General features: G+C 42.7%; 1 protein-coding gene across 5 annotated transcripts in view; it reads right to left on the reverse strand.

Moving 5' to 3' along the window:
* Positions 1 to 570: 570 nt before the first annotated feature.
* Positions 571 to 14,767, reverse strand: part of CAPN14 (calpain 14) — a 60,902-nt gene continuing 46,705 nt past the window's right edge. For all 5 annotated transcript variants that reach the window (XM_011532864.4, NM_001321270.2, XM_011532865.2 and 2 more), the window contains 7 exons: positions 13,943 to 14,000; positions 8,451 to 8,515; positions 6,026 to 6,094; positions 5,261 to 5,336; positions 4,541 to 4,657; positions 4,102 to 4,157; positions 571 to 2,222 (listed from right to left, as the gene is read on the reverse strand). In XM_011532864.4, the coding sequence (XP_011531166.1) occupies positions 2,196 to 2,222; positions 4,102 to 4,157; positions 4,541 to 4,657; positions 5,261 to 5,336; positions 6,026 to 6,094; positions 8,451 to 8,515; positions 13,943 to 14,000 (468 nt within the window). In that variant the 3' untranslated portion in view covers positions 571 to 2,195. The remainder of the gene's footprint in view (positions 2,223 to 4,101; positions 4,158 to 4,540; positions 4,658 to 5,260; positions 5,337 to 6,025; positions 6,095 to 8,450; positions 8,516 to 13,942; positions 14,001 to 14,767) is intronic.

Raw genomic sequence — 14,767 nt, forward strand, 5'->3', positions numbered from 1 at the left:
TGGATTCCTTGACCTCACCCTCCTTGGCACTGGCAGGTGATTTCTCACTCCTCCTTGGCTGCACTTTCCACTTTTTCTTATTCATGGCAGACTTTCTGCTTTCGATATTCCAGAACTGCTGATGGTCAACTCTCAGCCCTTCAGCTGACTTCACCCTGGTGCTTGCCCAGTTTCTCCTGCCCCAGATCTCTATTTTCCCGCCCCTGCTTCCCCTGGAGTGACAGAAGATGGGGAAGCGTGGTGGGAGTGGGGAGATTGCTCTGCCCCCTGGTCTTCAGTACTCAGCTTTGGGGGTATAGGAGAGAATCTGGAGGAAGGGTGTCAGCAAAGACAGGTCATCTTTGAGTTGCCACAGTGCAGATACCTAGACTCAGGAGAGTGAGGCTAGCACCTGAGTGATGTAGGACCACTCAAACCACCCACTGAGAAGTCACCAGAGGGGCTCTCAGGCTTAATCAATGTGGAGATAGATCTATCTGCACCAACACAGCCAGCACACTATAGTCTAAATGTCATGAGTAGGATCATGGTGTCACCCTCCCATCACCCAAAAATATCTCCAAAACTGCCTTCAGGGGCCAAGGCAAAATTGGTTTATTAAAACAGCTATTTGCAATGGCAGATTTTAAAGACAAAGACACAAATAAGTCAATGGATATAAAAAACTGTAAAAGGCTGTAAATACATGATCATCATTTATAAAATCAACAACATCTCATGTATCTGGCACTTTATGGAAACCCATTTTACATTTTATCATTTGGAATAAATGAAGGGTTTTTTTTCCTAAATAAAATACTTTCCTACCCCATAAGCTACGCTTTCAAAGTGCTCCTTTCTTCTGGTACAGTACCCATCTGACAGGTGCTCAAATCTCCTTTAGTCCTCTGCCAATGGACACACTTTTATCTCTTCATTCAGCTTCCTTCCTGAGTCTGCTATGGAGTTGGAAATCAAACAGCCATGTTTGTTAGAATTGTTTGTAAATTAAGATTAAATAGAATACAGGTTGACTATCTCTTAACTAAAATGCTTGGGACCAGAAGTGTTTCAGATTTCAGGATATCTGCATTATAGACTTGTCAGTTGAACACCTCAAACCCAAAAATTCAAAATCCAAAATGCCCCTATTTCCTTTGAGTTTCATGTCTACTCTCAGAAATTTTAGATTTTGGAGTATTTCAGATTTGGGGTTTTCAGATTTGGGATGCTCAACCTGTAGTAATAAATGGCTCTGAGGTGCTAACTTATGAATAAATTGCATAGACTTTGGAAAAAGGCCATTGTTCTGGTTTTGCACCTGTATTCTTGGTTGAGAGGGATGACATAAACAAGGTGTTTCATGGTAGTTCAAAAAATCAGATATACCAACCACCCACTGATTGACTCTATAATTTAGCATGGGTTTGTTTTTGTCCTTTGAAGTAGATAGACAGAGAATTTCTGGACAGATTTGAAATGGATCTGATAGTCTATATATCAAGCAAATAGACACACCTGTCACAAGCAGGAAGCCCTTTGAGAACTCAGGTGTTTTAAATCTACTAGGTTGCCCCAGATCCAATCATACGGAGATATTGTCAGAAGAAGACTACCCCATGACCTCAGATGCCAGAGCCAGCCCACCCCACCTGGACTCTGCCAATTCTCTTACTGTCTGTGTTTCTGAAAGCCCACTATATCCCTGACCCCATCCCCAAACAGCTGAAACTTAGCCTATGTCTCTATCAATTTGCAGATGCTGGGACTAAATGTCTAAGGATATATCATTCCCATTTCAGACCTTAAAACCTAGATGATTACCCCACCATGTGAGAACATGTGGCATGTCTAAAGTCACTTGAGTTTGCAGCCACAGAGGCAGTGTTGTATGGAGGCTAACCACACCAGCTCTGGAGTCAGAATGCTTAGGCCATGTCAGGTAACATCTCCGCTTGTGACAAGGTTGTGGCCTCAGGGAAGGATGGCTAGCTTTTACAAATCTGATGTAATCTTTACTTCCTCCCTTCCCTTTCTGCATGCTGGCCATGCACGGGGAGGGCTGCAGAAGAGAAACCTTCCCAGCTGAGAAGGTGACGGCTAGTGAGGCTGTCCTGAAGATCAGTAAGTAGGGTGGGCATGGGTTGGTCTCAGCCAAAGGCTGCTCTTGGGCCACATGCAGAGTCTTCAGTGAGGGCAGGTGAGACTCAGCCTTCTCAGGAGTACAGTGCCATCATCATCCACTGGACATGTTGGGAAAGCAAATGATGGTCAGTTCAGACCCACGTCTCATCTGGGCCTCCCCATCCCACACTCCTGGGGAGCCATGGAGACAGAACATTAATGGATGGTTTAGCCAGAGGGAGCATATCATCCATTAGGAAGTATAAATCAACTTGAAATATAATCAACCTTGACTTCTCACGGTGCCTATGAATGATGACAGTCAAATACAGGCTGATTCTGTATTCAGTTCTCAATGAATTTTTTTCCCATGAATTCAATTTGGCATGCTTGTGCCAGCTCTGTGCAGGTGTGCAAACTGGCAGGGTAGCAGAAATCCATTAAAGCATATTCTACACGTTTACATTTATGGGGCCCTTGGTCTGACAGCTTTATGTGGGTTTGATGAACAACCCCTCTAACTCATATAGAGGGGACCTCTGGGGAAACCACTCCCCAGGCCAATCCCTCAGAATGATAAAGCTGAGAATAGTGAAGTTACCAATGGTGTCAGAGAAAGCCTCAGCGTGAAATCCAACAAGGTGGCTGCCATTCCCTGCAGACCTTGGGTGGTCCTGATCCTCACTGAGCCACAGATGGTCAGAGCTGGAGGCAATCTCAGAGACCATCTAGTTCCACTCATTTCACCTGTGGGGCAGCTGAGGCCCAGAGATTTAATGTAATTTGCCTAAGGCCCCACAGCTAATTACAAGAAGTGTTGTGGCTTCAACCCAGTTCTCAGACCCCAGTGCAGTTCTCTTCCTGTGATAGCTCTTTGCCCACTGGACCCTGCTCAGTTTTGGGCTGTCCTATTTCAGGTGCCACATTTGTGTTGTCCTATTCTCCTAGACCTGAGCCAGCCACTGTGGAAGGATTGCCTGGGATCAGGAGCGATGCCCCAGTACTCAAGTGTGGGGCTAAGCAGTCCAGGGATAGGCCCTGAAAATTCTGGCCATTGGCCCTCCAGTAGAATCCCACTTCACATCAAATCTTGGAGGGATTGAGGGGTGACACAGGCTGCAGGTCCCTACAGCTTGGAAAGCAATTCCATAAAATGGACATTTGAGATCAAGAAAAACATTCCAGCTTTGACTGAATCATTTCTAAGTGGCCATAGCAGAGGAAGGGTTGCAGAATAAAAGAGCAGAGGATTGAACTCCAGAGTCCAATGTCCTTGCAATGAACATTACCTAGCGCTACACCTGGCACCTAAGCAGCTGCTCAATAAATCAGTGCATTTTGAAGGATCAGGGAAGATAATCAGTTTCATACATAAATTTGTATTCTCCTAGGCATATCACTTCATTCATTCAACACATCCTGCTGTGTCTGCAAAGTGATATTAAAGAGGAGGAAATGGGCTTGGCCATTTGACTTGCTTTGGACAACAGAATGACTTGCAGGCGTGCCAGATTGGAGCCTTGGTTTCAGAGGCCTACTGTGTTTAAGCTTGCTTGCTTGTGTTTCTCCCATTTCCCTGGGAAGAACAAACCTAGGCAGAGTTTCCTCAGTTCAGGTACCCAGCAAAACCCTCAGCCAACCCACAGATACATGAGCAAGCCAGCTGAGATCCACTGACTCCCAGCCATGTGACTCGGAAGCTAAATAAGTGCTTGTCATACATATGCTGCTGAAGTTTTGTAAATTTGTCACATGGCATTATTGCAATCAGAGTTATTGGATACACCTTTCATATGTGCCTGGCACAAAGTGGGTGCTCAGAAAATATTTGATGGGTGAATGAATGAATGAATGAATGAGTGCAATGAATGTAGTGCTCAATTTCCAATTCAGCAGAATAAAGTGTCCCCAGAGCCCTTCTCCTTCACAAGAGCATGGTCCCGCAAGGGCCACCTCTACGTAAGATGACATGAGCCACCTCCTTGGGGCAAGTCTTACCTCTGGCTTCTGGAGGTATATCCCTTTGCCATCTTGGGTTAAGTTTTGGAAGACATCTGTGAAAATGCAGCAGAAAGGAATACAGCTAATGTGTCTATTGGAAACATTATGAATTAGTTCCTCCCATATGTCTCACCTTAACCACATCCATTCTGAAAACGTGAGGGAACCCAGTGTCAGCCTACATGTGACCACACGCAGCCACATCTATGATAAGTGAGCCACTTCAAGCCTTTGTCTCTGGAACAAGTCAGGAAAAGATGAGTTTGGATATCTGCAGCCAGGGTTCACAGGCACTTGGCTGGAGGTCCCCACAGCTTCCCTGGTCTGCTGTTTCTGGGATGGCGGCTGTCCTCCCTTGTGCTTAAACTAGGGACAGGTGGGAAGTCATGGGGCAGCAGAGGAAGACCTGGCCCTCCCCAGCTTCCCGCCAGCTTACCCTCCATGTTCTCTACACGCAGCATCAAGTGGATGAAACTGACAAAGTCCATCTGGAGGCGGGGGCCGCCGTAGCGGATGAGCATCAGCTGACAGACGTCATCACTGAGCATGATTCCTGCATTGAGCACAAGCTCCTGCTGTGGGTATTGGGGGCTTGCACCCAGCTCCCCTCCTGCTCAAGGCCCCTTCAAATGTCCCTCCAGTTTAGGGACCTGAATCCTGATAGCATGGAAATCTTCTTTTATAGGGTTCATTTTGAATGGTTTAATTGTTTAACCAATTTATTTTATTTAATCCCTACTCTTCACCCCTGTCTGTTAAGGCAACCAGCATGAGGCTGTTTTCATCAAGTATGTTACCAGCCTTCAATGAAGGAGGCAGTCTGCTAAGTGCTCAAAAGTACCTGCTTGGGAGCCCGGCAGTCCTGAATTTAAACCCCAGGCAATTGAGCTTCAATTTCTTCCTCTGTGAAGTGAGGATTATAACAAGGTGGTGTTGAAGATTAAATAAGAAGTTGAATGTGCCACCCCTCCATCAATGTTGGCTAGGATCACAGGGACAATCATAAAAAATGTTGGAGTTGACTGCAGATCTACGTCTTTGAGAGTAACACTGCGTATTAGAGTTACTTCAGCATGCCACACATCCCCTCTCCTCTGCCTGATGAGTGTGCACCCTGCCCGTGTGTGCCCACAGCTCCAGCTCTTCCTGTGCCTACCTGCCTCCCTCATGGCAGCGTGCAGCTGCTCCCAGTTCAGGTATCCTGACCCACGGTCTTGCTTGTGGAAAACCTTCTGCAAAGAACCAAATAAGAGGTTCAGGAAGCCAGGCATTTCCAAGCACCATCTGAGAGCCCTGTGTGCCCCTTGTCAGCACCGCAGAGGGGCTGTTGAAGATATCTGAGGCTCCACATGCAGGGCCTGTTGCCAGGATAAGAATATGGCAGAGTCCATGCTGGGATCCTACCGCCTCATGTTTCCTACAGAACAAGGCTTCTGAGAAACAAAAAAGTCTTTTTCTCATGGGGTATAGACAGTCTTGGTGTGGGTAAATGTGCTTAGTGCAAGCACATTATCCACACTTTAAAGTGATTCCAGCTTTCTGACTCAGGAGACAAGTGGGAGAGTTGTGAGTTGTGAGCAATGATTGGAAGAGCAAGAAGGAGCAAATTTATGAAAGACTTTAAATGCCAAGTGTGCCAAGGAGTTTGGACTTTCTCTGAAGCCCATGGGGAGTCTTAAAAAGCTTTTTGTGAGGAAACAGCATGATCAGATATGTGTTTTGGAACTTCAGGAGACTACTGCAACCAGCTCTCTGAGTTTGGAAGAGACCAATAGAGGAAATGCTCACCGAAGGGAGAATAGAGAAGGTTTGGTGAGGTGGATATAAAGGGCTGAAGGGGACAGAAGTATCTTCTACAGCTTTGCAGAACTGCCATTCCTACACCATCTTCCAAAGAGGTGTGGTTAAGACTTGTTCTTACCTGAGAGAGCTTCAGCTGCTTCCACAGGTCCCTGAATTCCTGGATGCTCATAGTACCTGATGCATTAAGCTGATTAATAGGTTAAGGTAAAAGCTTCCAGGGAGAGTTCTATCCATGCTTTGGAGGCAGTGATCAGCCCTCCACAAAGTGATGTGCAATTTGTGGATGGCCTCATTCAATGTCTGATCATGTCTGATTTCGCTAGTTCGCCTCACCTCACTGGCCAGTCCAGCCCAGGGCTCCCTCACTCTTGCTAGGAAAAAACAGAATGAGCCCAGAGCACAGCAGCACTGGGAGAAGCGATGATGATGGAGGTGATGATGGTGATGACCACAGCTAGCATTAAGGGAGGCAGAATTTTTTTAATGCTATGAAATGTTATCTTTGATTATTGTTAGTGGAGTACCAGTAGTATTAACAGATGGTGATATAATTTTAATATACTTGAAGTCTTTTACACCTAAACATAAACAAATTAAATATGACATATCCCATTGCCTCTTCCTTTCACGCCTACTTTTTTTTCTTCTTAACATCCTTTATTGAGTTCTATATATATATATATATATATATATATATATACTTTAAGTTCTAGGGTACATGTGCACAATGTGCAGGTTTGTTACATAGGTATACATGCCATGTTGGTTTGCTGCACCCATTAACTCGTCATTTACATTAGGTATTTCTCCTAATGTTATCTTTCCCCCTGCCCCCCACCCCCTGACAGGTCCCAGGGTGTGATGTTCCCCACACTTGTCCAGGTGTTCTCATTGTTCAGTTCCCACCTATAAGTGAGAACATGCAGTGTTTGGTTTTCTCTCCTTGCGATAGTTTGCTCAGAATAATGGTTTCAAGCTGCATCCATGTCCCTATAAAGGACATGAACTCATCTTTTTATATGGCTGCATAGTATTCCACGGTGTATATATGCCACATTTTCTGAATCCAGTCTATCATTGAGGGACATTTGGATTGGTTCCAAGCCTTTGCTATTGTGAATAGTGCCGCAGTAAACATACATGTGCATGTGTCTTTACAGAAGCATGATTTATAATCCTTTGGGTATATACCCAGTAATGGGATGACTGAGTCAAATGCTATTTCTAGTTCTTGAGGAACCACCACACTGTCTTCCACAATGGTTGAACTAGTTTACAGTCCCACCAACAGTGTAAAATTGTTCCTATTTATCCACATCCTCTCCAGCATCTATTGTTTCCTTACTTTTTAATGATCGCCATTCTAACTGGTGTGAGATGGTATCTCATTGTGGTTTTGATTAGCATTTCTCTGATGACCAGTGATGATGAGCATTTTTTCATGTGACTGTTGGCTGCATAAATGTCTTCTTTTGAGAAGTGTCTGTTCATATCAAGGCAGGATATTTTGACATGGCCAATTTGATGTGATTTAAATTTAAAAAATAGTAACCTTTTTTCATTATTATTTTAAAAACCAGCTTATGGAAGGAGTCAGGCACACAGTGGCTAATGATGCCTTTTACATTTTTTTAAGTTTAATGGTTGGCTTTGTAGACCATGCCCAGATACCCCTACCATCAGAGACATTGGGTCAAAGTACCACCACACCCCATCTCTATTTGAGCCCTCACCATGAATCCATCACTGAGTTACACACTTCACCTGTAGCAGGTGAGGTCGGCATTAACTCCCCATGTTCCAGGTGATGAAATGAGCGCTTGGAGAGGGTCTGATCTTGTTCAAGTTCATACAGCTGGTGACAGAGCTGGGACCTGCTCCATGCCCGTGCACCTAATCCTGCACTGTCTCTGAGTTTCTGCAGACTGTTTTTGTCTTTACAACCCCCCTTAGGCTATCTATTCAATATGCCTCTCAATAGTATGGATGATCAAACATTGATTACAATTATCCACTTAGAAAGGCAGTGTGTTTGTTAGAAAAATTGCAGGGCTGAGAAAGGACAGCTGAGTTTGTGGCATGTTGTTTAACTTCCCTGAGCACTGGTTTCCTGATCTGTGCATGGGGGCAGCCACCGCCCAGTTATTAAATGGAAAACATAGGGCCCCAAGGCTTTTGTAAAGGCTCTTGTAAACCTGGAGAGCTGTTACTAACCACCACCTTCTAGCTGCCTCATCCTCATTCCCAGGAAATGAGATTATTGTGATGGATGGCTAATATTGGTCACCTATTAGATGATAGCTCTGACCCCAGCATTTTACCTGTATTATCTCATTTGCATTCCCACGTTAATCCTACCAAGTAAGTTTCAACACTCTCTCCATGCTTCAGATGAGCATCTGGATACATAATGAGGCTCAGTGGCTTGTCCAGGATCCCACAATTAGCAAGGATTGGGGTTGGGATTCAAATATACTCTGCCTAGCTCCAGAGTGAAGCTCTCAACCAACAGCAAGCATCCACCCACAAACCTGAAAGGATACGTCCAGTAAGGCCAGGATCCCCTGGCAGGCTTCCAGGCTAAAGAAGGGCTGTCTGCTCCCCAGACCTGTGAAGGAGCGAAAGAGTCCACATGGGGGCTGGCCCCAGGTCTGCACACCCCTTTTCTGAGCAGGAAGAGGCAGTGCTGCATGGGCCAGCTGATGACCACCATGTATGTACGTGGGCTGGGAAGAGTGAGAATGGAAGACAGTAGAGAGACGGGGGGGTGACGGTCGTTCCTACCCATGGAGAAAGTCAAATGCTATAGGGGATGCCTGGTACGGCTTGGGTTTGCTTACACAGAGGGCCAAATGAACATGCCCTTTGTACCTAGGGAGGGCCAGGATCATAGAGTCAAACTCCCAAATCTCAAAGAGATCCAAGAGGTCAACTTGTTCAAGCTCCCAACCAAACTGGGGGATTCTTTCCTCAGGTTTCTTTCTCTTTTCTTTTTTTCTTTCTTTTTTTCTTTCTTTCTTTCTTTCTTTCTTTCTTTCTTTCTTTCTTTCTTTTTCTTTCTTTTTTTCTCTTTTTCTTTCTTTTCTTTCTCTCTCTCTCTCTTTCCTTTCTTTCTTTCTTTTTTTTATTTTTTTATTTTATTATTATACCTTAAGTTTTAGGGTACATGTGCACAATGTGCAGGTTAGTTACGTATGTATACATGTGCCATGCTGGTGTGCTGCACCCATTAACTCGTCATTTAGCATTAGGCATATCTCCTAATGCTATCCCTCCCCCCTCCCCCCACCCCACAACAGTCCCCAGAGTGTGATGTTCCCCTTCCTGTGTCCATGTGTTCTCGTTGTTCAATTCCCACCTATGAGTGAGAACATGTGGTGTTTGGTTTTTTGTCCTTGCGATAGTTTACTGAGAATGATGATTTCCAATTTCATCCATGTCCCTACAAAGGACATGAACTCATCCTTTTTTATGGCTGCATAGTATTCCATGGTGTATATGTGCCACATTTTCTTAATCCAGTCTATCATTGTTGGACATTTGGGTTGGTTCTAAGTCTTTGCTATTGTGAATAGTGCCGCAATAAACATACATGTGCATGTGTCTTTATAGCAGCATGATTTATAGTCCTTTGGGTATATAGCCAGTAATGGGATGGCTGGGTCAAATGGTATTTCTAGTTCTAGATCCCCGAGGATTCGCCACACTGACTTCCACATTGGCCTTTGACAAAATTCAACAACCTTTCATGCTAAAAACTCTCAATAAATTAGGTATTGATGGGACGTATCTCAAAATAATAAGAGCTATCTATGACAAACCCACAGCCAATATCATACTGAATGGGCAAAAACTGGAAGCATTCCCTTTGAAAACTGGCACAAGACAGGGATGCCCTCTCTCACCACTCCTATTCAACATAGTGTTGGAAGTTCTGGCCAGGGCAATCAGGCAGGAGAAGGAAATAAAGGGTATTCAATTGGGAAGAGAGGAAGTCAAATTGTCCCTGTTTGCAGATGACATGATTGTATATCTAGAAAACCCCATTCTCTCAGCCCAAAATCTCCTTAAGCTGATAAGCAACTTCAGCAAAGTCTCAGCATACAAAATCAATGTACAAAAATCACAAGCATTCTTATACACCAATAACAGACAAACAGAGAGCCAAATCATGAGTGAACTCCCATTCACAATTGCTTCAAAGAGAATAAAATACCTAGGAATCCAACTTACAAGGGACGTGAAGGACCTCTTCAAGGAGAACTACAAACCACTGCTCAATGAAATAAAAGAGGACACAAACAAATGGAAGAACATTCCATGCTCATGGGTTGGAAGAATCAATATCGTGAAAATGGCCATACTGCCTAAGGCAATTTATAGATTCAATGCCATCCCCATCAAGCTACCAATGACTTTCTTCACAGAATTGGAAAAAACTACTTTAAAGTTCACATGGAACCAAAAAAGAGCCCGCATCGCCAAGTCAATCCTAAGCCAAAAGAACAAAGCTGGAGGCATCACACTACCTGACTTCAAACTATACTACAAGGCTACAGTAACCAAAACAGCATGGTACTGGAACCAAAACAGAGATATAGATCAATGGAACAGAACAGAGCCCTCAGAAATAACGCCGCTTGTCTATAACTATCTGATCTTTGACAAACCTGACAAAAACAAACAATGGGGAAAGGATTTCCTATTTAATAAATGGTGCTGGGAAAACTGGCTAGCCATATGTAGAAAGCTGAAACTGGATCCCTTCCTTACACCTTATACAAAAATTAATTCAAGATGGATTAAAGACTTACATGTTAGACCTAAAACCATAAAAACCCTAGAAGAAAACCTAGGCAATACCATTCAGGACATAGGCATGGGCAAGGACTTCATGACTAAAACACCAAAAGCAATGGCAACAAAAGCCAAAATTGAAAAATGGGATCTAATTAAACTAAAGAGCTTCTGCACAGCAAAAGAAACTGCCATCAGAGTGAACAGGCAACCTACAAAATGGGAGAAAATTTTCGCAACCTACTCATCTGACAAAGGGCTAATATCCAGAATCTACAATGAACTCACACAAATTTACAAGAAAAAAACAAACAACCCCATCAAAAAGTGGGCAAAGGACATGAACAGACACTTCTCAAAAGAAGACATTTATGCAGCCAAAAAACACATGAAAAAATGCTCACCATCACTGGCCATCAGAGAAATGTAAATCAAAACCACAATGAGATATGATCTCACACCAGTTAGAATGGCAATCATTAAAAAGTCAGGAAACAACAGGTGCTGGAGAGGATGTGGAGAAATAGGAACATTTTTACACTGTTGGTGGGACTGTAAACTAGTCCTTTCTTTCTTTCTTTCCTTCTTCCCTTCTTCCCTCCTTTCCTTCCTTCCTTCTTCCCTCCCTCTCTCCCTCCCTCTCTCCTTCTTCCCTCCCTCCCTCCCTCTCTCTCTCTTTCTTTCTTTTCTTTCACTTTCTTTCTTTTTTTCTTTAGAGATGGAGTCTCATTCTATCACCCAGACTGGAGTGGCACAATCTTGGCTCACTGCAACCTCCACCTCCCAGGTTCAAGCAATTCTCCTGCCTCAGCCTCCTGAGTAGCTGGGATTACAGGAGCGCGCCACCACATCTGGCTAATTTTTCATATTTTTGGTAGAGACAGGGTTTCACCATGTTGGCCAGGCTGGTCTCAAACTCCTGACCTCAAGTAATCCACCCATCTGGGCCTCCCAAAGTGCTGGGATTACAGGAGTGAGCCACCGCGCCCGGCCCTCCTCAGGTTTCTTGATGGATGCTTTGTCAGTTACAGGTGCTCACTTTTTCACATGGGTGAAGAACTTCAGTCAGGAGAAACTTCTTTCATTAAGTCCAAAGGAACCTCCTATAATAGTGGCTCACGGTCCTAGTTTCACCTCCAGAAAAGCATAAAACGGTATTTGTCTCTTCTTTGACTTTTGCTTTCCCTTCTAAACATCTGAATATTTCTCAAACTACTCCTCACATGCGATGGTTTCTAAACCCTCAACACCCTTTTCTGAGCCCTACATTTTGCCAGTATCTCTTTGAAATATGGTGCCAAGATTTGAACACAGTCCTCCAGATGCAATTTGATTGAACAGAATACAGTAGACCTATCATTTCCAGTTTTCAGTCAACATTTCCCAAATTATGTCTCAAAGGAGATTTTCTGCAGAGAAAGAGGAGTTTTGTGGTCAAAGAAATGTGGGATACTTTGCGTCTATTGATGCTTTTCTTCATTTGCCATGCACTTTACCATATGTGAGGTACTAAAGACCCAAGTACAATCAACCACAGAAGCTAACCCCTTTTATTTCATGGAACACTTACTAAACCTCTTGGTTTCTAGCATTTCCTGGAACACAATTTTAAAAGCACACATCTAAATGCTCCCATTAAATGCAGCCTGAATTTGTACGAGCTTATTTAGCAGCAACTTGAAACAATTAGTTCATGTTAGCTAGAGGTCAACTAAATTAACCAAATATCTTTCACATAAACTGCCACAAAAATGAAGTCTCTTCTGTTAAGAACTTGTGCTACCATCTTAAAATGGTCTATATCAAAATGGCAGTGGTTTATTATCTTCCTGACTACATTTCATCTTTTTGGTTTGGGCACAGCTTGTTGAAAACATTCTGAATTTCAATTCTGCTATCTATTATATTAATGATTTCTCCCAGCTTTGTGCCATCTGCAGCTCCAATAAGCCTATATTCCATGTCTTCTTCCAAGACATTAATAAAAATTGGGGAAATGAACAGGACCAAGGGCAGACAGAATCTAAGAACTCTCATCTAAACATCTAAGCATATAGACTCTTGCCTGTAACTGGATAGAATTATCCCTCTAGTTTTATATTTGTATAACTCTTGGGAATGGTGATAAGATTTGTTGTAAATACATCTTCTATTATTATTTTCCAACCCACATTTTATCATTTATCATGGGAGACTCACCAAACATTTTGCCAAAATCTACAGTATTTCTCTGATTTATCCATCTAGAACCCTCTCATAGGACTAAATGAAAGCAATTTGTTCATAAATGCTTTGGAAAACCATTTTGTATATATGCAATCAAGACCTTTAAAAACTTTTAAATGTGCATGAGCCATTGCTTCTAGGTAATTTCCCTAGAATTAGCCTAGAATTCTTTTTCAGCCGGGAAGGGGAGTCTTACGTTCTACAATTCCTAGAGTCTTCCCTTCTGGCTGTTTTACTGATAACTGAATTTGGCTTTGAGAAGCCTTTTGCAAATTCTTTCAAACCCTGAATCACACAATAGCCTGGACTGTAATTTGTCTGGATTATAAATCTTGGCTTCATAGAAAGAAGAAGCAATCATCTAACTTTGGCAGCAAATACTCTGGTTGTTTTACTTTTTTTACTTTGAAGTTCATTCGTCTCCCTGAAGAAATCAGCCTATTTCTTCTGTGTTCTTCTCACTCCAAATATATGTATAAAATATTTTATATGGACTTTAAGCCTTTCTAATAATTTACCCCAGGCTTCATATGAAAGCCTCACGCTACTCATTTGCAATTCTTCTAGGTGGTGTGCTCTCTCCTTCCAGAGTTTTGTTGCTTGATCAATTTAACATGAGTTCATCAGACAGTTCCCTGGGTAGGCTAGTTAATACTTAATATTCATATCCCAGGTTGAGGAAATGGGTGCAGTTCTTCCACATGGAATTGATATGCCAAGAAAGAGGTACTCAGTTATTCCTTTCTGACTAGCAAAATGGCAGGAATCTTCATTTTCACTGCCATGTATGTCTATACCCAAAGTAAGCAAAATAATAATAACGATTTTCAAAGTTGTATAAATTTCCCTACTGCTTTTTCAGATCACATAATCCACCTTGTGTAAAATATAGCCAGAGTTGAGACCAGTGCTCAGTAATTCACACATCCCACCAAGGGAAAGAGAAACAAAGCCAGAGTTTAGAAAAGTTGCATCCCCTCTGAGTCCTACAGAATGGCTCTAAAACACTTACTTGACCAGGTCATCTGGTTCAGGAGGTTCTGAAGTTGAACTGCATTAATCTCTGGATGCTAAATAGAAAGCAGATTGGCAAGAAAAAATAACTGTTACTGAAGGCTCATTAGATGGCAGAGGGGTCATATGACTGGCCATGAAATTAAACTGGGATTTCCTAAGAACTTCACAATGCTTTTTAACTGGGTGCCAACCCCAGAGAACCCTGGCAGGGCATGACTTTCAAGAACAGTGATTCTCGAAGGTGCTATCCAGGTGCTGCTGAAGTTTAGCCAACAATTTGGTTTGAATTTCATTCTCAATAAAATGTCATCAGTCAAAACTCCAGATTTTAATCTTAGAGTTTATTAAAAGAAACTCTTTATATGAACATTTGATTTTAAAATATATCAGTGAAATATAAGTATCAAACATCTGAATTTTTAAAACTGAGGCATATTCATAACATGCAATTTTTAGTTGTTTTATATAGATTGGGATTCTCTATGAGACTTCATTTGATAAAAGGATTGCAGCATCAAATGTTTGGAAACCACAGGTATGGAGGAAAACTTTAACAAACAATACATATAAGATTCTGATTTATCCTCTCCAGCTACATTAAACAAAATTCCAGATGGGCAAGGCAGGTAAATTGTGACTTTAAATCAGGAGTGTCACTAACATAGGGGGCTCATATTCTCTGTTTTAGTGACATTGCTCAAATATCAGACCCCAGATTTCCAGTATGTTTCTCGCCCTGTTCCTAAGTGTCTTGCAGGTTAGGAGAGCATGGCCTCCAGAGCCCCGCACTCACACCATTAGCCCTTGCCAGACTCACATC

This window comes from Homo sapiens, chromosome 2 (assembly GCF_000001405.40).
Source record: "Homo sapiens chromosome 2, GRCh38.p14 Primary Assembly".
NCBI lineage: Eukaryota > Metazoa > Chordata > Mammalia > Primates > Hominidae > Homo > Homo sapiens.